This window comes from Homo sapiens, chromosome 19 (assembly GCF_000001405.40).
Source record: "Homo sapiens chromosome 19, GRCh38.p14 Primary Assembly".
Classification (NCBI taxonomy): Eukaryota; Metazoa; Chordata; class Mammalia; order Primates; family Hominidae; genus Homo; species Homo sapiens.
Window position 1 is genome coordinate 894,121 of NC_000019.10, and position 23,193 is coordinate 917,313.

Below are 23,193 nucleotides of genomic sequence, written 5' to 3' on the forward strand. Positions count from 1 at the left end.
CGCCTTCCAGGCTCAAGCGATTCTCCTGCCTCAGCCTCCCGAGTAGCTGGGACTACAGGCGCGCACCACCATGCCCAACAAATTCTTGTATTTTTAGTAGAGACGGAGTTTCACCATGTTGGCCAGGATGGTCTCAGTCTCTTGACCTGGTGATCTGCCTGCCTCAGCCTCCCAAAGTGCTGGGATTACAGGCGTGAGCCACCGCGCCCAGCCTGTTTTTTCAAAATTTTAATAGCGATGGGGTCTCACTATGTTGCCCAGGCTGATTTCAAACTCCAGGCCTCAAGCCCTCCTTCCACCCCGGCCTCCCAAAGTGCTGGGATTATAGGCGTGAGCCACCGCGGCCTCACTGCATGATTTTTGCAAGAATTCTGCAAATATAAAACTGTTCTAAAATTACAGGTTAACAATGGCCCAAATATCAGAGTGTTTTTTCTGGATCAGGGTTCAGTTCTCCAAGAGGGCCACGCAGTGACCTTACAGAAAATCCCCATTCCCAGGCAGCAGGTAGGGATTTAACGTTCTTAGCGGCCCGGGTGTGGTGGCACACACCTGTAATCCCAGTACTTTGGGAGGCCAAGGTCTGAGGACAGCTTGAGTTTGAGACCAGCCTGGGAAACATAGCCAGACCCCGTCTCTACAAAAAAAAATTAAAAATTAGCAGGGTTGGGGAGGGAGGGGCGCTGGGCAAGGTGGTTCAGGCCTGTAATCCCTGAACTTTGGGAGGCTGAGGCACGCAGATCACCTGAGAACAGGAGTTCGAGACTAGCCTGGCCAACATGTTGAAACCACATCTCTACTAAAAATACAAAAATATTAGCTGGGCATGGTGACACATGCCTGTAGTCCTAGCTACTCTAGAGGTTGAGGCAGGAGAATCACTTGAACCCAAGAGGTGGAGGTTGCAGTGAGCTGAGATCGCGCCACTGCACTCCAGCCTGGGGGACAGAGCAAGACTCTGTCTCAAAATAAATAAATAAATAAATAAAATAGCTGGGTGGGGTGATGCACACCTGTAGGCCCAGTTACTCAGGAGGCAAAAGTGGGAGGATCACTTCAGTCTGGGAGGTCAAGGCTGCAGTGAGCTGGGATTGTACCTCTGCACTCCAGCCAGGGCAACAGAGCCAGACCCTGTCTAAAAAAAAAAAAAAAAAAAAAAGAGAGGTTGAATTCCTAACTCCCACTACCTCAGAATGTGACCTTATTTAGAAACAGGGTCTTTGCAGAGGTAATCAGGTTAAAAGGAGGTGATTAGCATGGGCCTAACCTAATGACGGGCATCATAGAGATGGATATTTGGGCACAGACACGTGAGGAGAGGACGATGTCAAGACAAGACATAACACACAGGGAAAACGGCCACTTGGAGATGAGACCACAGCAATGTGGCCACAAGCCATGGACACACGAAGTCCCCAGAAACCGGGAAAGGCAGGAAGGCTCCTCCCCTAGAGACGCTGGAGGGAGCACTGCCCTGCAGACACCATGACCTCATTCTTCTACCTCCAGCATTGTGAGAGGATAGATTTCCCTTTTGCTTCTCTTTGACCTAGGGTCTTCCTCCATACCCAGGCTGAAGTGCAGTGGCACGGTCTCAGCTCACTGCAGGCTCAAGTGATCCTCCCACCTCAGCCTCCCAAGTAGCTGGGACTACAGGCGCACACCACACCCTGCTAATTTTTGTGTGTGTGACAGAGTTTTGCTCTTGTTGCCCAGGCTGGAGTGCAAAGGTGCGATCTCAGCTCACTGCAGCCTCTACCACCTGGGTTCAAGCAATTCTCCTGCCTCAGCCTCCTGAGTAGCTGGCATTACAGGCATGCACCACCACACTCGGTTAATTTTGTATTTTTAGTAGAGATGGGGTTTCTCCATGTTGGTCAGGCTGGTCTTGAACTCCTGACCTTGTGATCCACCCGCTTTGGCATCCCCAAAGTGCTGGGATTACAGGTGTGAGCAGCCACCATGCCCAGCCAACCCTGCTAATTTCTCTCATGTTTTGTAGAGACAAGGTCTTGCTATGTTGCCCTGGTTGGTTTCAAACTCCTGGGCTCAAGCGATCCTCCTGCCTTGGCCTCCCAAGGTGCTGGGATCACAGGCATGAGCTACTGCACTGGCCTTCTGTCGTTTCAAGCCCCCTGTGTGAGACCCTCCATTACAGGGGCCCCAAGGCACTCGTACAAGCCACTCACTCAAGGTCTACAGGGGCCCCAAGGCACTCCTACAAGCTCCTCACCCAAGGTCACACGGCAGGCATGTGGCAGAGCCAGGGTTTGAATCCAGGCAACCAAGGGCAGAGGAGCCAGGGGGGCACCTGCAGCCCTTGGTGGCCAGGACCTACTAAGCCCCCGGCCCTGCCCCGAAGAAAAACACACATAGCCCGAGGCCAGAGCACCAGAAATTTATTAAATTCCCCACTTTCCCCCAAAACACAATTACCCACACGCAGCAAGGGGGTGCGGAGGCCCCCCAGCCTGGCTCCTGCAGCCTGGGCCAGGAGGACCAGCATGGGGACACAGGAGCTATCAGGCAGGAGTCAGGCTGGGGGACGAGGGGACACGGGATGGGGTGACAGACAAGGTAGTGCAAGGGCAGAGGCTTCTGGCTGGAAGTCCTGGACCCCCAGCATAAAGGAGGGGAGGAAAGGAAGGGGGCTCATATAAAGCAGGAGACCCTGAGCCCCGACACAGGTGGCGTGGGGGAGGACACGCAGAATGACGAGGATAAAACCGGCTCTTAGGACCGTGGCTTCTGTCCTGGGTCTCAGGGCACACGCGCGCACACATATACAACACAAGATGCTTCTGGCATGAGGGGCAGGGTCCCAGAGACCCCACCCTCATTCAAGCTAAAAACTGGGAGGGGCTGAGCAGGGGCTGGGACCAAGACCCATGTTTTACCAGTGGGGCGAGTTTTTTTGGTTTTTCTCTCCAAAAGGGAAATTTAAAAATCTACAACAAATCACACCAAATTCATTAAAAGTGATAAAAACCCAGCCTCCCCCTCCTCACTTGAGCTTCAGACCGGGCCAGAAAAGCTCAACGATGAAGAAACAGGAACATGCCCAGGTCAGGTCTCCCCACCCAAACACAAGTCCCGGAGTGGGAAGCTTGGAGCTGGGATGGCATGGGCAGCCCCAGCCGCCAGCGTCTGTTGACTGCCAAGAGCTGCGTGAGGAGGGGGCAGAGTGAGAGAGACCACCCCAAGCGAAAAAGGTTTCCGAGGACAAATTCTAAAAATATGAAAGATATTTTAGCCGAAGGTATCGGAGGGCTTGATGGCTGGGCGAGGTGGCAGCGGGGTCTCCGCGGGGCCGCCATCAGCTGTGCTGCTCCAGGTAGGCGGACAGGAGCAGCCCCGGCGGCAGGAAATCCAGGTGCCGATTACTGACCTTCATCTGCCGCTTCCCCTCCAGGTCAGCACCTGCAGACGGGACCAGCGGGGCAAGAACGGGAGGAATTTGGGAGCCGCGGCAGGTAGAGGTGCCTCGGACCTGCACCACCCTCGCTTCTTCCCAGGGAGGTCACCGCCAGCTGGTGTGTGCTGGTCACTGCGGCCTGGCTGGCCCTAAGCCCGCAGGTCCGGGAGCCTGGCTCACAAGAATACCTAAGGCTCCCTACAGGAGCACTCTCCTCGGGCCCATCTCACTCCCCGCTGGCACTCATTCCACTGTGCGGATGGGGACCCTGAAACGCACTGGGCCTGAGGCCGCATGGCCACTCACACGCCTGCCTGGCGGAGTGTCCGGCCTCCCCTCAGGCTCCCTGCCCTGCAGAGGTGGCTCTGAGGCACCCAGGTCCTGAGTGGTCCAGCTCCCACCGGCCTCCCCTTCCCCATCTCCCCCTCACTGCAGAAAAATGAATGACCTGGCCAGGCGCAGTGGCTCATGCCTGTAATCCCAGCACTCTGGGAGGCCAAGGCAGGAGGATCATCTGAGGTCAGGAGGTCGAGACCAGCCTGACCAACATGGTGAAACCCTGTCTCTAGGGCTGGGCGCGGTGGCTTAAGCCTGTAATGCCAGCACTTTGGGAGGCTGAGGCAAGCGGATCACGAGGTCAGGTTGAGACCATCCTGGCTAACACAGTGAAACCCTGTCTCTACTAAAAAAAAAAATATATATATATATATATACAAAAAATTAGCAGGGCGTGGTGGCGGGCACCTGTAGTCCCAGCTACTCGGGAGGCTGAGGCAGGAGAATGGCGTGAACCCGGGAGGTGGAGCTTGCAGTGAGCTGAGATCGCGCCACTGCACTCCAGCATGGGTGACAGAGCGAGACTTGGTCTCAAAAAAAAAAAAAAAAAAGAAACCCGTCTCTACTAAAAATACAAAATTAGCCGGGCGTGCTGGCCGGCACCTGGGATCCCAGCTACTCGGGAGGCTGAGGCAGGAGAATCGCTTGAACCCGGAGGTGGAGGTTGCAGTGAGTAAAGATTACGCCACTGCACTCCAGCCTGGGTGGCAGAATGAGACTGTCTCAAAAAAACCAAACCTAACCAACCAAAACAAAAAAAAAGAGCCACGTCCCATGTGAGCTCCGCGCCTCAGCAGTCCCCTCTGCCTGGGACCCCCCCGTCCTCTACTCCCCATCTTGCTGGGACCCCTCCTCTTCCGTGTCAGGACCACAGCTCCACACCCACCAAGCTCCAAGCCCCGCACCCCCAGCCAAGGCCGGATGTTCTGAGCAGAGGCAGGCATGGGGGCTGCGTCTCCCACAGAGGGAACAGAGGGAGGCATCGTCCGGTTGCCATGGAAACTGTCACCTCGGCAACTCCAGGCGGGGCGGCAGAGACAGGTGTGAGAGGCTCAGGACCAGATGGGGTGCCTGGGGCCGGCGGCGCCTGCACAGACGTTCACTACGGGGGTGAGTTCTGAGACTGCGCCCCGTTGGAAAAGTGGAGCGCAGGGGCCAGTAGGGGGTCTCGCCTGAGGTCCCACGTGTGGTATGTGGGAGGCCTTAGAGTTAAATGCAAACCTTCCAGACACTGCGTCCCCCCATCTTATCTCTGGCTCTGGGAGGTCCCTCAAATCCAGGCTTCATCACCCCCACCCCGGGCCCCGAAGATGCAGATGGAGGAGTGTCTGTGTCCAGCAGCCTGGTTGTGTCTGCGGTCACCCTGCGTGGGGCCGCATATGCAGGGAGCTTCTGGTGAATTCAAGGCAGGGTCCCACTGCCACCCCTGAGTTCGTAGCGTCCCCACTCCAGCCCCCTTCCCCACCTCCCCACCAAGCCCCACTCTGAGGAACCAGGCCCCTGGGACCCTGGCCACTTTCCCAGGTTGAGCTGGCCAACTTGGGGTCTTGGGGGCCACCGGCACTTACTGGCCGAGATGAGGTCCATGTACTGGCAGACAGCGTGCAGCAGAAGCCTCTCGAAGCTGTGGGGAACGGGCAGTGAGCGCCGTGCAGGGGCTGCAGCGTGGGGTGTCCGCCCACCTGGCCGCAGCCTCGGAGGGTCCGCTCGCCTGGCCGCCCCCCCTTACCTGTTGTCTAGCATTGCTGTGTACACGGCCTGGGGGGACACGGAGAAGAACCGAAGCAGCCGCTCCTCCCAGGTCTCCAGCGTTTCCTGGGGAGAGCGGCCCGGTGGTCAGGGAACTGCGGGACCTGTGGGTGGGGGGCCAGGGAGGTCCAGGGCCCCCAGGAGCCCACAGCGCTGGGCTCAAACATGACCTCTGACCCACCACGTGAGGCTGCTTAAGTGTCTCTGAGGCCACCATGCCACCTCCTGCCTGTGCCTTCCGTGGAGGAAACTCCTACACACCCTGCAGTGCCCGCCTTCGTTGCCCCCGCCCTCCTACTCAGGGCCCTGGTGCCGCTGTCTGTATCCTGCCCTGTTTCCCCTGACACGACCTGCACCGGGTGAGAACCTGTGCCTGGGAAACGGGCCTTCAAAAAAGACCAGGCAGGTAGAAAAGGGAGGCCCGGCAATCCCCCACTCACCATGGGGATGCGGCTGCGCTTGAGGACGGCTCGCAGACGCCGGCTGATGCGCTGGAAGCACTCGCGGGGTGTATAGGCGGGGTCCTCTGCAGGAGTGGGGGAACAAGGGGCAGTCTTGGGGTGCTCGTCCTGGCCCTGCCCACCTGCCAGACCACGCCCACCCAGGGAAGACCACGCCCATCTGTGCCTTGGCCTCTCCTGCCCACCAAACCACACCTTCAACGATACTGTGGCCCCATCCAGCCAGCAGACCCTACCCCCACGAGGCCCTGACCCCAACCCATCCAGCTGACCCTACCCTCACCTGTATGTTCACCCCAGCTAGACATGAGGCCCCACCCACTCCAGGCCCACACAAGCCAGCTAGCCCCACCCCTACCCACTGCCATCCAGATCCTGCCCCCACATGCTGGCCACATCCACTCCATGTCCCGCCCCATCCATATCCTACCTACCCCATCCTGGCCCCACACACCCCATTGCCCTGTCCCCATCCATACCCTGGCCTCACCCACACACTAGGTCCAACCCACTCCAGGTCCCGCCCACACCCCATCCATATCCTGCCCCCCATCGCGGCCCCACCCACCCCAGGCCTCGCCCCCATCCCCCATCCATACCTGGGCCCAACATACTAGGTCCAACCCACTCCAGGTCCCGCCCACACCCCATCCATATCCTGCCCCCCCATCCCGGCCCCACCCACCCCAGGCCACGCCCCCATCCATACCCTGGCCCCACCCATACCCGCCCCAGCCAGGCCCGCACCTCTCCTCCGGTCCTCCCCACGGCCAGGGCCCCTCCTCCGCGCCTTGCTCCTGCCCTCATCCTCCAGGTAGCGAAGAACCCGCTCCTGCTCCTCCCCGGAGCGGTTCATGAAATCGTTCCAGACCTGGAAGAGAGGCAGGGAGGCAGGCTTGCCATGAAACACTGGGGCTGCGCTGACATCCCCGGGCAAATGGGCACGGTAAGGCCGCCAAGCACGTGGACGCGCTCCTGCGGTCACCTCTGTCCACTGAGGGGCCGCTGCTTGTGTCGGGCCCTGAGCTGAGCGCAGGGAAGCGGGGAACCGGGGTGGGCCCAGCTGTCTCGGGGTGGGGGGGATTGAGGTGAAACACTCCTGCAATCGTTGGAGGGTTCCCAAACGTGTTGGGCAGGTGAATCCAGGAGCTCGAAGGTTCCAGGGGTGGGGTGGGGATTCTGGCCTGGTCTGGGGACCCCGAAGGAGACTGAGGGGCCTTCATTAGGAGATCAGAAGTGGGCGGGTGCTTCTGGCGGGGGACGGGCACAGGCGATGGCCTGGCCGTAGGAGAACTGCCGGGGTCCCCGTGTGGAGGGAGTGAGGGGGTTGGGGGCCACACCTCCACATAGGTGGCGTTGTTGCAGGCCTCGGCAAAGATGCCTGGTGATGCAGGGGGTGCCAAGTCCCCATCCTCCAGGCCAGGCAGGCCCCCGTCTGTCTCCAGCAGGGTCAGGAGGTACTGGGCTAGGTGGAAACAGATGCTCTCTGGGCCGGGGTGGCATTTGGGGACCCCCAGGCACCATGGGGACCCAAGAACTAGCCTTCCTCCTTTTTTATCATCTCAACCTCCGCACCTCCATGCTCCAACTGTCTTCCCCAGAAGGTACAGAGACCACCTAGACCCCAGGTTCTGGATTGTCGAACTCCTATATATCCTTTAAAGCCCCAGCTCCAATGCCCGGGGCGCCCTCCCACCCAGCCCTGATCCAAGAGTCCAGGGGGCGCCTGTGTCTGGCTCTATTTATATGGTCCCCCGGCCTACAGCTGACACCTCTTTGGGTCCCCAGCCCCACCCAGGCACAGCTCATGGGAGGGGTAACAGATAACACCAATATGCATGCCATTCTACAAGGCCCAGGAGCCCCCAGGAGGCGCCTCCCGACCCCTGCTCACTGTTCTCCAGGCGCTGGAGGCTCTTCCGCCCCTTGGCCTTGGGCACGAGGTCTGAGTTCCGCACTGCCTGGTTGATGAAGTGCTGTTTCCGCCTGGAAGCCGAGAGTCTCTTCACCTGGGAGCTGGCTAGGGCAGGCAGGCAGCTGGGAAGGGGCCTGTGGGCCGGGGCAGGGGTGGTCCTCAGGGTCAAGGCCGGCCAGGATCTCCGAGAAGGGCCCTACCACAGCCATGGCCCGCTTGGTTTCCCCCAGCAATGGAGAGCTCACCCCTACGGTGTGTGAAGTCCTGGGCCCTTAAAATCCTATTTTGTTTCATCCTCACATCACAGGAAGCAGATACAATTGTGAAGACGGGCTGGGTGTGGTGGCTCATGCCGGTGATCCCAGCATTGTGGGAGGCTGAGGCCGGTGGATCACTTGAGCTCAGGGGTTCAAGACCAGCCTGAGCAACATAGCAAGACTATGAAAAAAAAAAAAGACTTATTTTTTTGTCTCTACAAAAAAAAATAATAATTAAAAAATTAACCGGTGTGCTGGTACATGCCTGTAGTCCCAGCTACTCAGGGGCCTGAGGCAGGAGGATCACTTAAGTCCAGGAGGTCGAGGTTGGCATGATGGCACCACTGCACTCCAGCCTGGGCAACAGAGCAAGACTGTGTCCAAAAAAAATAAAAAAAATTAGGTCAGGCACATTGATTCATGCCTGTAATCCCAGCACGTTGGGAGGCCAAGGTGGGTGGATCACTTGAGGTCAGGGGTTGAAGACCAGCCTGGCCAACAGGGTGAAACCCTGTCTCTACCAAAAAAAATACAAAAATTAATCAGGCGTGGTGGCGTGCGCCTGTAATCTCAGCTTACTCAGGAGGCTGAAGTGAGAGAATCGCTTGAACCCGGGAGGCAGATGCTCCAGTGAGCTGAGATTGTGCCACCGCACTCCAGCCTGGGCGACGGAGTGAGACCTTGTCTCAAAAAAAAACAAAAAACTGTGATGATAGATTAGTAAACCGAGGCTCAGAGAAGTGAAGACACTTGCCCAAAGTCACACAGCAGGTGAATGACCAAGAAAAGCTGCCGCCCACCCCCAACCCCAGTGTTCAAGGTGTTAGCTGTAAGCCAGCAAGGCCCACAGCCTTTGGGACGTGAACAGCTTCCTTCAGAAATGGAGAGTCAAGAAACTTGATTTTATCCACATCCCCCACTCCCAGCAGCAGAGGAGCCAGAAAACAGCCCCAGAAGCTCAAGGTGATGCCTCAGCCCCCCCCGCAAACCCCCCCCTTAATGTCCCCTGTCCCCAGGGCCAGGAGGAGAGTGCGGCTGCAGCGGCCCCCCTCCAGAGCTAATCGGCCTGGCCGGAGCAAATGGCATTAATTGTGGAGATGGATTAGCTGTCACAGCTGGGCCTCCCACCGAGAATCCAAGGGCCGAGCCACTCAGTGTGGGGGGAATAGGCAGCCGCCTGGGAAGCGGGTGGTTGGACAGGGTGGGGGTAAGCGCGCACCGCAGCCACCGGGCACCCGGGAAGCGGGCGGCGTTTGGGGGGAGGTAGGCGCGCACCGCAGCCACCCGGCACCTGGGAAGCGGGCCGGTGAGGGGGGGCCTCATGGATGGGGACTTTTCTGGCAAGGAAAAACCACACAAACTGGGCGTGGGAGCTCATGTAATCCCAGCACTTTGGGAGCCCAAGGTGGGTGGATCCCTTGAGCCTGGGGAGTTTGAGGCTGCGGTGAGCTGTGACTGCAATACCGCGCGCTCCAGCCTGGACAACAAGAGCAAGACCGTGTCTCAAAACAAACAGGACGGGCGCGGTGGCTCACGCCTGTCATCCCAGCACTTTGGGAGGCCGAGGCGGGCGGATCATGAGGTCAGGAGATTGAGACCATCCCGGCTAACACGGTGAAACCCCGTCTCCACTAAAAATACAAAAAAATTAGCCGGGCGTGGTGGTGGGCACCTGTAATCCCAGCTACTCGGGAGGCTGAGGCAGGAGAATGGTGTGAACCGGGGAGGCAGAGCTTGCAGTGAGCCGAGATCGTGCCACTGCGCTCCAGCCTGGACGACAGAGCGAGACTCTGTCTCAAAAGCCAAACAAACAAAAAACCGTAATGCTAGCTCCACTGGGCTCACAAACCCCCACACCACAGGGCTGACCATGGCCTCCAGGGTCTGGGGGTACCAGGATCGGCTCCACCCTTATCTCCTAACTCCACCCCACCTGAAACACATTCTGCTCCAACCCCACAGTGGCACCTCCTGGCCGCTGCTGCTTCCAAGACACGATTTCCCGTCCCGCCTCGGACCTTCGCACAGGCGGCTCGGGTTTGCTGGCTGGCTGTAACCCCCACCGCCGGCACTCACAGCCAAGCCTCGTTCACAGGAGACGCTCAGAAAAATAACCACCAAATCAATCCTCAATAAAAATTCTGTGATTCCAAGAGAGCCCACAGTCGAAAATCCCTAATAGCATCCAGAGTTCCCAACACAAAAATTAAAAGCAACCCACTCCACCCCTGCAACCCCCAAAAGACTGGAAAACGCTAGGAAACTCTAGGCCAGTTGAGACAAGATTCACTCGAGGCAAGCTGGGCGCGGTGGCTCATGCCTGTAATCCCAGAGCTTTGGGAAGGTGAGGAGGAAGGACAGCTTGAGGCCAGGAGTTCAAGATCAGCCTGGGCAACATCACGGTCCCCGCTGCTCAGGAGGCTGAGGAGGGAGGATCACTTGAGCCCAGAAGGTGGAGGCTGCAGTGAGATGAGATCGTACCACTGCACTCCAGCCTGGGTGACAGACCAAGACTCTGTCTTAAAAAAGAAAAAAAAAATGCAGTCAAGGGGGTCAGAAATGAGGGCAATGCTCTCCAGGGTCCACACACATGTAAAGAGTCCTCAAGCCTTAAGTCTGTGCACTTTACAGACCAGCTGTTACATCTCAATCAAAAGTAAACAAGCTGATTGGCCGGGCGTGGTGGCTCACACCTGTGTTCCCAGCACTTTGGGAGGCCAAGGTAGGTGGATCACTTGAGGTCAGGAGTTCAAGACCACCCTGGCCAACATGGTGAAACCCCGTCTCTACTAAAAATACAAAAAATAAGCCGGGCGTGGTGGCATGCACCTGTAATTCCAGTTACACAGGAGGCTGAGGCAGGAGAATTGCTTGAACCTGGGAAGCAGAGGTTGCAGTGAGCCAAGATTGTGCCACTGCACTCCAGCCTGGTGAACAGAGCGAGACTTGGCCTCAAAAAAAAAAAGTACGCTGGGCGCAGTGGCTTATGCCTGTAATCCCAACACTTTGGGAAGCTGAGGATCTCCTGAGGTCGGGAGTTCGAGACCATCCTGACCAACATGGAGACACCCCCATGTTTAGTCTCTACTAAAAATACAAAAATTAGCCAGGCATGGTGACGCATGCCTGTAATCCCAGCTATTTGAGAGGCTGAGGCAGGAGAATTGCTTGAACCCAGGAGACGGAGGTTGCGGTGAGCCAAGATCATGCCGTTGCACTCCAGCCTGGGCAACAAGAGTGAAACTCTGTCTCAAAAAAAAAAAAAAAAACAAAACAAAACAATTAGCCAGGCATGGTGGCATGCACCTGTAATCCTAGCTACTCGGGAGGCTGAGGCAGGAGAATCACTTGAACCTGGGAGGTGGAGGTTGCAGTGAGCCAAGATCGCGCCACTGCACTCCAGCCTGGGCGACAGAGCAAGACTCTGTCTCAAAAAAAAAAAAAAAAAAGTAAGCAAGGTGAGGAGACCCAGGGCTGCCTGAAGCAGGAAGGGGACGGGCAGATAAACAGCACAGTCTCCACAGACTGCGGCAAAAATCTATGAAAAGTCATCAGAACAAAAATCTCACATATGCACAAGCACCCACCAATAGGGACCTGCAGGCAGAGGCACGGGTCAAGCTTCCACCCTGGACCAGGTGCTCAGAACTCAATGGCCCAGGCAAGCCTGGCAACTCCGAAACTGCCTCCTCGCCAGGCTGCGGCGTTAGCAGGGCAGGTCCTGGAATCTCAGCCCAGGGTGTGAACCCCAGCTACGAAGCTTCACCCTGAAACCCCCTTTTTTTTTTTGAGACAGAGTCTCACTCTGTCACCCAGGCTGGAGCGCAGTGGTGCGATCTCCGCTCACTGCAACCTCTGCCTCCCAGGTTCAAGTGATTCTCCTGCCTCAGCCTCCGGAGTAGCTGGGTATACAGGCGCCCGCCACCACGCCTGGCTAATTTTTTATTTATTTTTAGTAGAGATGGGATTTTTTTTTTTTTTTTTGAGACAGAGTCTCGCTCTGTCGCCCAGGCTGGAGTTCACTGGCTCGATCTCAGCTCACTGCAAGCTCTGCCTCCCGGGTTCACGCCATTCTCCTGCCTCAGCCTCCCGAGTAGCTGGGACTACAGGTGCCCGCCACCACGCCTGGCTAATTTTTTGTATTTTTAGTAGAGATGGGGTTTACCGTGTCAGCCAGAATGGTCTGGATCTCCTGACCTCGTGATCCGCTCACCTTGGCCTCCCAAAGTGCTGGGATTACGGGCATGAGCCACCGCGCCCGGCTCACCCTGCAACCTTTAACCTCAGCCCCCTCTCAAAAAGTGGGAACAAGTTGGTTTGGGAGGGGTACTCAGAGCCAAAAGGGCCTGGGATGAATTCCCCTCATCTCAGCTGCCACTTGCTTGTTTTCCTCCTATGATGGGGAACTCACCCCTCAGCCATGCCACACTGCTTTTGATCGTAAGTGTCGCTGGACTGAGTATTTTCCCCACATTGGGCTCATTTCCTGTCACCTGTGCTGTCCCCGGGGAGGCAAGTTCTATTACTTTGATGCCCATTATACAGATTTGGGGTTTTTTTGTTTTGTTTTGTTTTGTTTTGAGATGGAGTCTCACTCTGTTGCCCAGGCTGCAGTGCAGTTGTGCCATCTCTGCTCACTGCAACCTCCACCTCCCTGGCTCAACCGAGTCTCCTGCCTCAGCCTCCCGAGTAGCTGGGATTATAGGCGCCCACCACCACGCCTGGTTAATTTTTGTATTTTCAGTAGAGACGGGGTTTCACCATGTTGGCAGGCTGGTCTTGAACTCCTGACCTTAAGTGATCCGCCTGCCTCAGCCTCCCAAAGTGCTGGGATTACAGGCATGAGCTACCACGCCCGGCCCTCATTATACAGATTTGTAAACCAAGGCACAAAGTCACCGCCCAAGCTCCCATTGCTGCAAAGAGGGCAGCTGGAGAAGGAGGTGGTGGACCATGCCCTCAGCACAGAGCACAGCAGCCGACGGGTACTCAGTGGGAATACAGGGTCATGTTAAGCCAGCGTCTCTGAAGCTGGATCAGCCTGAAGCTGCCTCCCTGAGGCCGGAGCACTCTGTCCCATGCCCCAGATTCACCCACAGCCCCCCCTGAGGCCCCGGGGCCTACTTCTCCACCCCAGCAGCTGGACAGGGCCGATAACAGAAGTGACATCCGAGGGGAGCCCTCGGGGAAGTCAGAGGGGGCGGGGCTCGGTGACACAGCTCAAGCCCTCCCAGCAAGGGGCCTGGTATCACCCCATATTACAGATGAAGGATCTGAGGCTTGGAGAGGTGGGGCTGTCCCCCGTCACCACCCAGACAATGCAAGGAGCTGGATGTGAACCTGGGTCTGACCCAGAACCCCAGAGCTACCCTGCTTCCCTCACCACCCCTCATACCAAAGCCCCACAGGCCTCTCCTCCAGGCCCACAAGGACCTGCCTGGTCCTTCCCCTGCTCCAGCACAGCCCATGGCTCCCCAGCATCCCAGGGCCAGGCCTGGCTCCCCCTTGGCCTAGCACTGCAACACGAGGGCTTTCGCCTGTTTTGTTTGGTATCTGAGGGCTCGCCACCCTCCCCTGGGTCTCTAGTGCTGAGCTGAGCACTGGAAATCGAGTCCCACCATCAGATGGAGCTGGCTGACTTCAACCAGTTTCCAGCAGGAAATTAAGAAACATCTTCAAGCTTGTCATCCCAGCACTTTGGGAGGCCGAGGCGGGCGGATCATGAGGTCAAGAGATGGAGACCATCCTGGCCAACATGGTAAAACCCTGTCTCTACAAAAATACAAAAATTAGCCAGGAGTGGTGGCGCACGCCTGTAGTCCCAGCTACTTGGGAGGCTGAGGCAGGAGAATCGCTTGGACCTGGGAAGTGGAGGTTGCAGTGAGCTGAGATCGCACCACTGCACTCCAGCCTGAGTGACACAGCAAGACTCTGTCTCCCAAAAAAACAAAAACAAAAACAAAAACAAAAAAACATCTGGCCTCTGGGGTAGACAGGGGGGCCTGGGAGTCACCGACACTCCTCTCCAGAAATGGAAGGAACAGGAAGACCACATCAAAATCCCCATGCCTGGCCGGGCGCAGTGGTTCACACTTCTAATCCCAGCACTTTGGGAGGCTGAGGCAGGTGGATCACTTGAGGCCAAGAGTTCGAGACCAGCCTGGCCAACATGGTGAAACTCCCGTCTCTACTAAAAATACAAAAAAATTATCTGGGCATAGTGGTGGGCGCCTGTGGTCCCAGCTACTCAGGAGGCTGAGGCAGGAGAATCACTTGAACCTGGGAGATGAAGTCTGCAGTGAGCCGAGATCACAACACTGCACTCCAGGCTGGGTGACAGAATGAGACTGTCTCAAAAAAAATAAAAATAAAATAAAAAATAAAAAAATCCCACGTCCAGCCACAGGCCCCTCCTCACAGTGCTCCAAACTCAGGGAGCCCCGGTCTCTGCCTGATGCACCTGCTCATTCCAGCCTCAGCTCTGTGTTCACCACCCCCAGGAACGGCCCCGCCCCCCACCTAGCCCAGTCAGCCTTACCAGGAAGCTCTGGAAACCAACCGGCCCCAGCCGGCCCGTTTACTTCTTTGCTCCTTAATCACTAGCTCACTAGGCCCACAGAACAAGACAGGGTCCGCCCCCCGCCCACCGCCGCCCCCCGGTCCTGGCCTGTGACCGGCCCACAGCGGCGCTCACTGCCTGTTTGTTGAATGAAGAACTAAACTTCTGTTGACACACCTCCCAAGGGCTGGTTCATCTGTTTCCCACGCCACTCAACAAGACCACTTTACAGACGAGGAAACTGAGGACCCAGCGGGGGTATCTGAGGCTTCCTGGACCCTGAAGGCTCGAGGATGTGTGTCCACAGAAGAGGGGGGCAGCCCAAGCTGGGGAGCTGCTGGAGTTTGGGGGAACAGGCCTCCCGGCCACTCCCAATTCTACTCCTTGCAGATTTTGAGAGGGGAACTGTGAACCCTCAGTCCCTCGAGCAAAAACACACCTTTCCCAGCACTGGTCCCTCCCCCAGGAACCCACTAGAGACAGCAAGAGAGGAACCGACTTGTGCATCAGGAAGCCAGGGCTCAGGGCGGAGGTGACTCAGCCTGGGGTGGGGCAGACTGCGGCGGCCCCCAGCAGTCCCCAACCCCCCACCAGGACACAGCTGGCAGGTAAACACCCAGAGACTGACGGCTGAGAGCGGAAACATGAGTGTATTTACATAGTTACATAGGAGTCACTACACCTGGGCTTCAAGACCAGGGTGCCAGGCGTGGTGGTTCACGCCTGCAATCCCAGCACTTTGGGAGGCCGAGGCAGGTGGATCACCTGAGGTCAGGAGTTTGAGACCAGCCTGACCAACATAGTGAAACCCCGTCTCTACTAAAATTACAAAAATTAGCCAGGCGTGGTGGCACATGCCTGTAATCCCAGCTACTCAGGAGGCTGAGGCAGGAGAATCGCTTGAACCTGGGAGGCAAAGGTTACCATGAGCTGAGATCGCGCCACTGCACTCCAGCCTGGGTGACAGAGCAAGAACCTGTCCCCCCAACCCCCACCAAAAACAAAAAAAACAGAAGACTCAGGAAGAAGAGCCCATTTTGAGGGTAAATGCCCACACCAGGTGGTTCAAGGCCCCCTTAGAGGAGACGTTACGTGGGTGCAGTGGCTCACGCCTGTAATCCCAGCACTTTGTGAGCCCAAGGCAGGTGGATTCCTTGAGTCGAGGAGTTCGAGACCAGCCTAGGCAACATAGTAAGACCCTCGTCTCTACAACAAATTAAAAAATTAGCCAGGCCGGGCGCAGTGGCTCATGCCTGTAATCCCAGCACTTTGGGAGGCCAAGGCCGGTGGATCACCTGAGGTTGGGAGTTCGAGACCAGCCTGACCAATATGGAGAAACTCCGTTTCTACTAAAAATACAAAATTAGCTGGGTGCGGTGGCACATGCCTGTAATCCCAGCTACTCAGGAGGCTGAGGGAGGAGAATCGCTTGAACCTGGGAGGCAGAGGTTGCAGTGAGCCGAGATCGCACTACTGTACTCCAGCCTGGGCAACAAGAGCGAAACCATCTCAAAAAAAAAAAAATAGCCGGCATGGTGGTGCACACCTGTGGTCCTAGCTACTCGGGAGGCTGGGGCAGGAGGATCGCCTGAGCCCGCAGGTGGAGGATGCAGTGAGCTGTGATCAAACCTGGGTGATAGAGTGAGACCCTGTATTAATAATACTACTACTAGGCCGGGCGTGGTAGCTCACGCCTGTAATCCCAACACTTTGGGAGGCCGAGGAGGCAGGATGGCTTGAGCCCAGAAGTTTGAGACCAGCTTGGACAAGTTAGCAAGACCCTGTCTCTAATATGAAAAACAAAAACAAAAACAAAAAAAAAGCATCCTCTGCTCCAGCCTGGCCAATAGACCGAGACTCTGTCTCCAATCAATTAACCAATCAACCAATCAAAGACGCATCCTTTCTCCTTCAGATACAAATCACCTCGGTAGAGATGGGTATGGCCTCTGAGTGGAGATAATAGTGATGATATAATAAACATAATAACGATGATAGTAATAAATGATCATTTAAAAATAATACTAGCCGGCGCGGTGGCTCACGCCTGTAATCCCAGCACTTTGGGAGGCCAAGGCGGGCAGATCACAAGGTCAAGAGATCGAGACCATCCTGGCTCACACGGCAAAACCCCCGTCTCTACTAAAAATACAAAAAAATTAGCCGGGCGCGGTGGCGGGCACCTGTAGTCCCAGCTACTCGGGAGGCTGAGGCAGGAGAATGGCGTGAACCCAGGAGGCGGAGCTTGCAGTGAGCCGAGATCGCCCCACTGCACTCCAGCCTGGACGACAGAGTGAGACTCTGTCTCAAAAAAATAAACAAATAAATAAATAAATACAAATAATACTAAAGACCGGGTGCGGTGGCTCACGCCTGTAATCCCAGCACTTTGGGAGGCCGAGGCAAGCAGATCGTGAGGTCAGGAAATCAAGACCATCCTGGCCAACATGATGAAACCCCATCTCTACTAAAAATACAACAATTAGCTGAACGTGGTGGCGGGCGCCTGTAATCCCAGGTACTGGGGAGGCTGCCGCAGGAGAATCGCTTGAACCCAGGAGGTGGAGGTTGCAGTGAATGAAGATCGTGCCACTGCACTCCAGCCTGGGCGATAGAGCGAGACTCCGTCTCAAAATATTAATACTACTAAAATAACCAATAAAACATTAACGATAATTAGTAATGAGACAACGGACACTCCTGTTTGCTGGGCCCGCCGCAGTGCCAGCTCGGTAACCCCCACCACTCGGAGAAGAGGCCACACTTACTATCCCATTTTACAGAAGGGGAAACTGAGGCATGGAAGCATGAAATAACCTGCCCAGGTGGCGCCGTCCGCACACGGAGGAGGCAGGAACGGAACACGCGCCGCCTCCTCGCCCTCCACCAACACGGACCCCAGGGGCGCACCCTGGGTCCCCGGGTCCCTGTGCGGGCCGGGGTGACACACGGCTGACCCCCGCACAGACCGCCCCGCTTCCGGGTCCCCCGGGAAGGACGCGCGGGCTCCTGCTTGCCAGGTTTTAACCCACAAGGGTTGTAGGGATTTACCCAAAGGAGAGCAAGGAGCCGGGTCTGCCCGGAAAGGCAGGGGGCGCGGACAAGCCCAGAGGGCGAGTGGGGCCGGGCGTGCGGCAGGGACCAGGCTGGAGCGCATGGCCACGTGGGTGAACCCCGACCCGCGGACAGGGGCCCAGGACCCTCTGGCGGGAGGCTCCATGGCTGGCACCTCGGGGCCCGGGGAGTGGGGGGGCAGACCCGGGAGTGGGGGCGCGGCCCCGGGGAGGTGGGGGGGGGGGTGGACCAGGGAGTTGGGGGGCGGACTGGGGAGGTGGGGGGACGGACCCGGGAGTGTGGGGGGCGGACCAGGGAGTTGGGGGACTGACCGGGGAGTGGGGGGACAGACCCGGGAGTGGGGGCGCGGCCCCGGGGAGGTGGGGGGGGTGGACCAGGGAGTTGGGGGGCGGACTGGGGAGTGGGGGGACAGACCCGGGAGTCGGGGCGTGGGCCAGGGCAGTGGGGGGGTCGGACAGAGGAGTTGGGGGGCGGGCCCGGGAGTGGGGGCGCGGACCCGGGAGTGGGGGCGAAGACCAGAGAGTAGGGGCACGGACCAGGGAGTTGGGGGGTGGAACCGAGGAGTTGGGGGGCTGACCCGAGGAGTTGCGGGGCGGACCCAGGAATGGGGGCAAGAACCAGGGGAGTGGGGGGGTGGAGCAGGGAGTGGGGGGACGGACCCAGGAGTGGGGGCGTGGATCAGGGCAGTGGGGGGGCGCGGACCCGGGAGTGGGGGGAGTCGGACCCGGGAAGTGGGGGCGCGGACCGGAGAGTGGGGGCACGGACCGAGGAGTTGGGGGGCGGACCCGGAGAGTGAGGGGGTGGACCCGGGAATGGAGGCGCGGACCAGTGCAGTGGGGGGGCGGACCGGGGAGTGGGGCGCGGACCGGGGATTAGGGGGCGGACCGGGGAGTAGGGGGCGGAACAGGTAAATGGGGACGTGGATCCGGGTCCCCTCCCCCAGCGAGCCCCCGGAGCGCCAGGAGGGTGTCCCCGCTGAGTAACAATGAAGACCCCCCACCCAGCCTGGGGGTCCACAGCGGGCGAGAAGGGAAGGCAGGACAGGCTGAAGCCCCGGAAGATGAGCAACGGGAGCGAGGGGAACGAAGGGAACGAGGGGAGGGAAGGGAAAGGAGGGGAGGGGAGGCGGGGAGAGGATCTCAGGGGAGGGAGCCCAGCCCGCCCCCGGCGCCCGCCGCGCCCCGCCCGCCCGCGCTCACAGCAGCCGCCGCCCGCCCGGGGTGCCCTCCGCCGCCTCCGGGCCGCACTCGGGGTTCTCCAGCGCGACCATGGCTCGCACGCTGTCGCCGCCGCCGCCGCCCGGCAGGGCCTTCACCGGGCCGGGCAGGAAGTGACGGGCGCCCGGAGGCGGGCAGGGGCGGGGCCTGGGGCTGCGCGGCGGGGCGGGGGCGCCCACCTCCCGGCTGCCGGGAACGAACGCGGAAACCCAGGCGCGCGGGGAGGGGATCCAGCCCCTGGGGGGACGAACGGGGAAACCGAGGCGCGCGGGGCGGGGATCCAGCCAACAGGGAACGAACGGGGAAACCGAGGCAGGCGGGGCCGGGATCCAGCCATCAGGGAACGAACGGGGAAACCGAGGCAGGCGGGGCCGGGATCCAGCCCCTGGGGGGACGAACGGGGAGACTGAGGCGGGAGGCGGGGCCGGCCACGATCCCTACACCCAGAAATCTAGCTCCGGGAAGGAGGGACACCTAGGCGAGGGGTCGAAAACTCAACCACAACCCTGCGTCCCGATCCGGGCTGCGGACTGAGCCAGGAATCCAGCCCAGGGAGGCGAGGAGACACGGACAGGGAAACTAAGGCCTGAGCATCGACGAGGGAGGGGACGTTCTTCTTGGAGGCAGAGGATGGCGGAAATTAAAACTGCCCGAGCCTTCCTTCCACCTGCCCCTCCCAGCCCTGGAGCCTCGGCTAGGCAACCCCTTCCCCTGCTTAGCCTCAGTTTACTCTTCTCTAAAATTAGGCCTGGTGGCCAACGTGGTGGCTCACGCCTGTAATCCCAGCACTTTGGGAAGCCAAGGCCAGTGGATCACTTGAGTCCAGGTGTCTGAGACTAGCTTGGGCAACATGATGAAAACCCATCTCTAAAATAAAAAGAAAGGGCCGGGCGCGGTGGCTCACACCTGTAATCCCAGCACTTTGGGAGGCCGAGGTGGGCGGATCACGAGGACAGGAGATCGAGACCATCCTGGCTAACACAGTGAAACCCCCTCTCTACTAAAAATACAAAAAATTAGCCGGGCGTGGTGGCGGGGGCCTGTAGTCCCAGCTACTCGGGAGGCTGAGGCAGGAGAATGGCGTGAACCCGGGAGGCGGAGCTTGCAGTGAGCCGAGATCGTGCCACTGCACTCCAGTCTGGGCGAGGAGCGAGACTCCATCTCAAAAAAATAAAATAAAATAAAATAAAGCAAGAGGGAGGCTGGGCACGGTGGCTCGCACCTGTAATACCAGCACTTTGAGAGGCCAAGGCCAGTGGATCACTTGAGGTCAGGAGTTTGAGACCAGCCTGGCCAACATGGCAAAACCCTATCTCTACTAAAACTACAAAAATTAGCCGGGCGTGGTGGTATGCACCCATAGTCCCAGCTACATGGGAGGCTGAGGCACAAGAATCGCTTGAACATGGGAGGCAAAAGTTGCAGGGAGCCGTCCACTTCACTCCAGCCTGGGCCACAGAGTAAGACTACTCTGTCTCAAAAAAAAAAAAAAAAAAAAAAAAAATAGCCAGGCACAGTGGCTCACGCCTGTAATCCCAGCACTCTGGGAGGCCGAGGCGGGTGGATCATGAGGTCAGGAGATTGTGACCATCCTGGCTAACACGGTGAAACCCCATCTCTACCAAAAATACAAAAAATTAGCCGGGCATGGTGGCAGGCGCCTGTAGTTCCTGCTACTCAGGAGGCTGAGGCAGGAGAATGGAGTGAACCCAGGAGGCAGAGCTTGCAGTGAGCCGAGATTGTGCCATTGCACTCCAGCCTGGGCGACAGAGCGAGATGCTGTCTCAAAAAAAAAAAGCAAGAAAGAAAGAAAAAGAAAGAAAGAGTAAGGAGGAAAAAGAAAAGGATGAGAAACTGTGGATGGACTCAAAAAAGCGTGCACTGTGAGATTCCTGTAGATAAATGTGCAAAGAGGTGAAAAAGGACAATGGAGAGATGTATCAGGAGTGACTGGCAGGGGAGCTGGGCATCGGGAATGAGTGGTTTCCCCATCCATCAGGCACAGGGTAAGGGTAGATGCTCAAAGAATGGACCTGAACATTTATTCGTGAGAGAGGGAGGCAACTCCAGAGAACTTCCTGGGCCTTCCTCCCATTCTGGGTTCCAGGGCTTCCCTTCAGGGGCCTGGGCCTGTCCTGTCTGTACCTTCTTCTTCTTCTTCTTCTTCTTTTTTTTTTTTGAGAGAGTCTCGCTCTGTCACCCAGCCTACAGTGATGCAATCTCAGGTCATTGCAACCTCCACCTCCTGGGCTCAAGTGATTCTCCTGCCTCAGCCTCCCAAGTAGCTGGGATTACAGGCACCCTCCACCAAGCCCGGGTAATTTCTGTATTTTTAGTAGAGACCAGGTTTCACCACGTTGGCCAGGCTGGTCTGGAACTCCTGACCTCAAGTGATCCACCTGCCTCGGCCTCCCAATGTGCTGGGATTACAGGCATGAGCCACTGTGCCCGGCCTATTCATTTTTTTTCCTCCCTTTTTTGTCTTTTTTTATGCAAATGGAAGCACCTTTTTCTTCGCTGTGTATTACTCCATGATGACCAAATGTCTTGGACTCTGTTGCAGGATGGACTTTGGGGGAACCTCCTGGATGTCATCCTGGGGTACACTTCCAGCTGTGGGATTATGGAGTCAAGGTTGTGCTGACCAGGCTGGGTGGCTCATGCTTGTCATCCCAGCACTTTGGGAGGCTGAGGCAGGAGGACTGCTTGAGCTCAGGAGTTCAAGACAAGCCTGGGCAACCTAGTGAGATCTTGTCTCTACAAAAAAATTTAAGGGGGGAGGGGGGAGGGATAGCCTTAGGAGATATACCTAATGCTAAATGACGAGTTAATGGGTGCAGCACACCAGCATGGCACATGTATACATATGTAACTAACCTGCACATTGTGCACATGTACCCTAAAACTTAAAGTATAATAATAATAAAATAAAATAATAAATAAAATTAAAAAAAAAACTTTATTTGCAAAAAAATAAAAAATAAAAAATTTAAAAATAAATTAGCTGGACCGGGAGCAGTGGCTCACGCCTGTAATCCCAGCACGTTGGGAGGCCGAGGAGGGTGGATCACCTGAGGTCAGGAGTTCGAGACCAGCCTGGCCAACGTGGTGAAACCTGGTCTCTACTAAAAATACAAAAATTACCCGGGCATGGTGGCAGGCACCTGTAATCCCAGCTACTCGGGAGGCTGAGGCAGGAGAATTGCTTGAACCCGGGAGGCGGAGGTTGCTTTGAGCCGAGATCATGCCACTGCACTCCAGCCTAGGCAACAGAGCGACACCCTGTCTCAATAATGATAATAAAAGGCCGGGCGCGGTGGCTGACGCCTCTAATCCACCACTTTGGGAGGCCGAGGAGGGTGGATCACGAGGTCAGGAGATCAAGACCATCCTGGCTAACACGGTGAAACCCTGACTCTACTAAAAGTACAAAAAATTAGCCGGGCGAGGTGGCGGGCGCCTGTAGTCCCAGCTACTAGGGAGGCTGAGGCAGGAGAATGGCGTGAACCAGGGAGGCGGAGCTTGCAGTGAGCCGAGATGGAGCCACTGCACTCCAGCCTGGGCGACCTGAGCGAAACTCTGTCTCAAAAAAATAAATAAATACATAAATCAGTAATAATAATAATAATAATGAGGCTGTGGCGTTTGCAAGGTGCCCTCCACCTGGTTCCCGCTGCTAGTGTCCCTGCGGGTATCAGACACCCCTTGTCAGTCATGTGGGACACATTCAGTCCCAAACCACCAGATCGGGGACGTCCCTCACCTGCCCTGAACTTTCCATGGCTCTCCAGGGTCCTGGGGACAAACCCAAGCTATCCTCACTCAGGGTCTCCGCTGAGGGCTGGCCTCCCCGCCAGGCTGGGCCCACCCCCTGGAGCCCCAGCCCCTACGAGGGTCAAAGCCCTTCCCATATTCACAGGCCTTAGAGTTCGCGCCTTGGCTGGGCTCCTAGTCCGGGCTGAGCGTCTACTCGCTGGTTAAGGTCGGTCCTTCCAGGTCCACAGCGGCCTCCACGCGGCCCACCCCCTGCCTGCTCCGCCCCCTCCAGCCCCCTCCCGCGCTCTCACTCCGACCTTGCACCGGGAGGAGGGAATAGGGGGGTTGCCGCTGGGTGAATAGAGGGCGCGTGGGCAGGGGAGGGAGTGGCGAGCGGCTGCCGGAGAGGCGGGAAGGCAAGGCCAGGGGAGGGGGGCACGGGCTATAAACGCT

General features: G+C 57.6%; 1 protein-coding gene across 4 annotated transcripts, besides 6 other annotated features; it reads right to left on the reverse strand.

Moving 5' to 3' along the window:
- Positions 1-2,382: 2,382 nt before the first annotated feature.
- Positions 2,383-19,099, reverse strand: R3HDM4 (R3H domain containing 4). Of its 4 annotated transcripts, none has more exons than NM_138774.4 (8): positions 18,967-19,099; positions 7,856-8,010; positions 7,302-7,426; positions 6,709-6,832; positions 5,941-6,026; positions 5,481-5,566; positions 5,320-5,375; positions 2,383-3,420 (listed from the first exon to the last, which is right to left on the reverse strand). In NM_138774.4, exons 1-8 carry the CDS (start codon positions 19,035-19,037, stop codon positions 3,317-3,319), a joined length of 807 nt encoding a protein of 268 aa, NP_620129.2. In that variant the 5' UTR covers positions 19,038-19,099; the 3' UTR covers positions 2,383-3,316. The 4 variants fall into 4 exon arrangements, with proteins under 4 accessions (NP_620129.2, XP_024307539.1, XP_047295615.1 ...); XM_024451771.2 differs by lacking the exon at positions 18,967-19,099 and adding an exon at positions 8,122-8,280; XM_011528416.3 differs by having other exon boundaries at positions 3,330-3,433.
- Positions 4,656-4,856: a silencer, noted in NCBI's record as "peak3217 fragment used in MPRA reporter construct". NCBI's record gives its function as "represses an SCP1 promoter by STARR-seq MPRAs in K562 erythroleukemia cells {active_cell/tissue: K562}" and the evidence as "EXISTENCE:reporter gene assay evidence [ECO:0000049][PMID:32103011]".
- Positions 9,939-10,697: an enhancer, noted in NCBI's record as "H3K4me1 hESC enhancer chr19:904059-904817 (GRCh37/hg19 assembly coordinates)". NCBI's record gives its function as "activates a minimal SCP1, AML or CMV promoter by ChIP-STARR-seq in naive H9 embryonic stem cells {active_cell/tissue: H9 hESC(naive)}" and the evidence as "EXISTENCE:reporter gene assay evidence [ECO:0000049][PMID:30033119]".
- Positions 15,149-15,443: an enhancer, noted in NCBI's record as "tiled region #9324; HepG2 Activating DNase unmatched - State 5:Enh". NCBI's record gives its function as "activates a minimal TATA promoter and a strong SV40 promoter by Sharpr-MPRA in HepG2 cells {active_cell/tissue: HepG2}" and the evidence as "EXISTENCE:reporter gene assay evidence [ECO:0000049][PMID:27701403]".
- Positions 18,917-19,256: a silencer, noted in NCBI's record as "silent region_9627". NCBI's record gives its function as "represses an Ori minimal core promoter by ATAC-STARR-seq in GM12878 lymphoblastoid cells {active_cell/tissue: GM12878}" and the evidence as "EXISTENCE:reporter gene assay evidence [ECO:0000049][PMID:35858748]".
- Positions 22,954-23,093: a silencer, noted in NCBI's record as "silent region_9628". NCBI's record gives its function as "represses an Ori minimal core promoter by ATAC-STARR-seq in GM12878 lymphoblastoid cells {active_cell/tissue: GM12878}" and the evidence as "EXISTENCE:reporter gene assay evidence [ECO:0000049][PMID:35858748]".
- Positions 23,104-23,193: a silencer, noted in NCBI's record as "silent region_9629". NCBI's record gives its function as "represses an Ori minimal core promoter by ATAC-STARR-seq in GM12878 lymphoblastoid cells {active_cell/tissue: GM12878}" and the evidence as "EXISTENCE:reporter gene assay evidence [ECO:0000049][PMID:35858748]".

Bases quoted from the DNA above. Each gene is read 5' to 3' on its own strand.
- R3HDM4 (NM_138774.4), bottom strand. From the start codon at position 19,037: ATGGTCGCGCTGGAGAACCCCGAGTGCGGCCCGGAGGCGGCGGAGGGC. The intron at 8,011-18,966 runs GTGAGCGCGGGC...CCCGGCCCACAG, and splicing joins CCGGGCGGGCGGCGGCTGCT to GCCCCTTCCCAGCTGCCTGC. The intron at 3,421-5,319 runs GTAAGTGCCGGT...TCCCGTCTGCAG, and splicing joins CATGGACCTCATCTCGGCCA to GTGCTGACCTGGAGGGGAAG.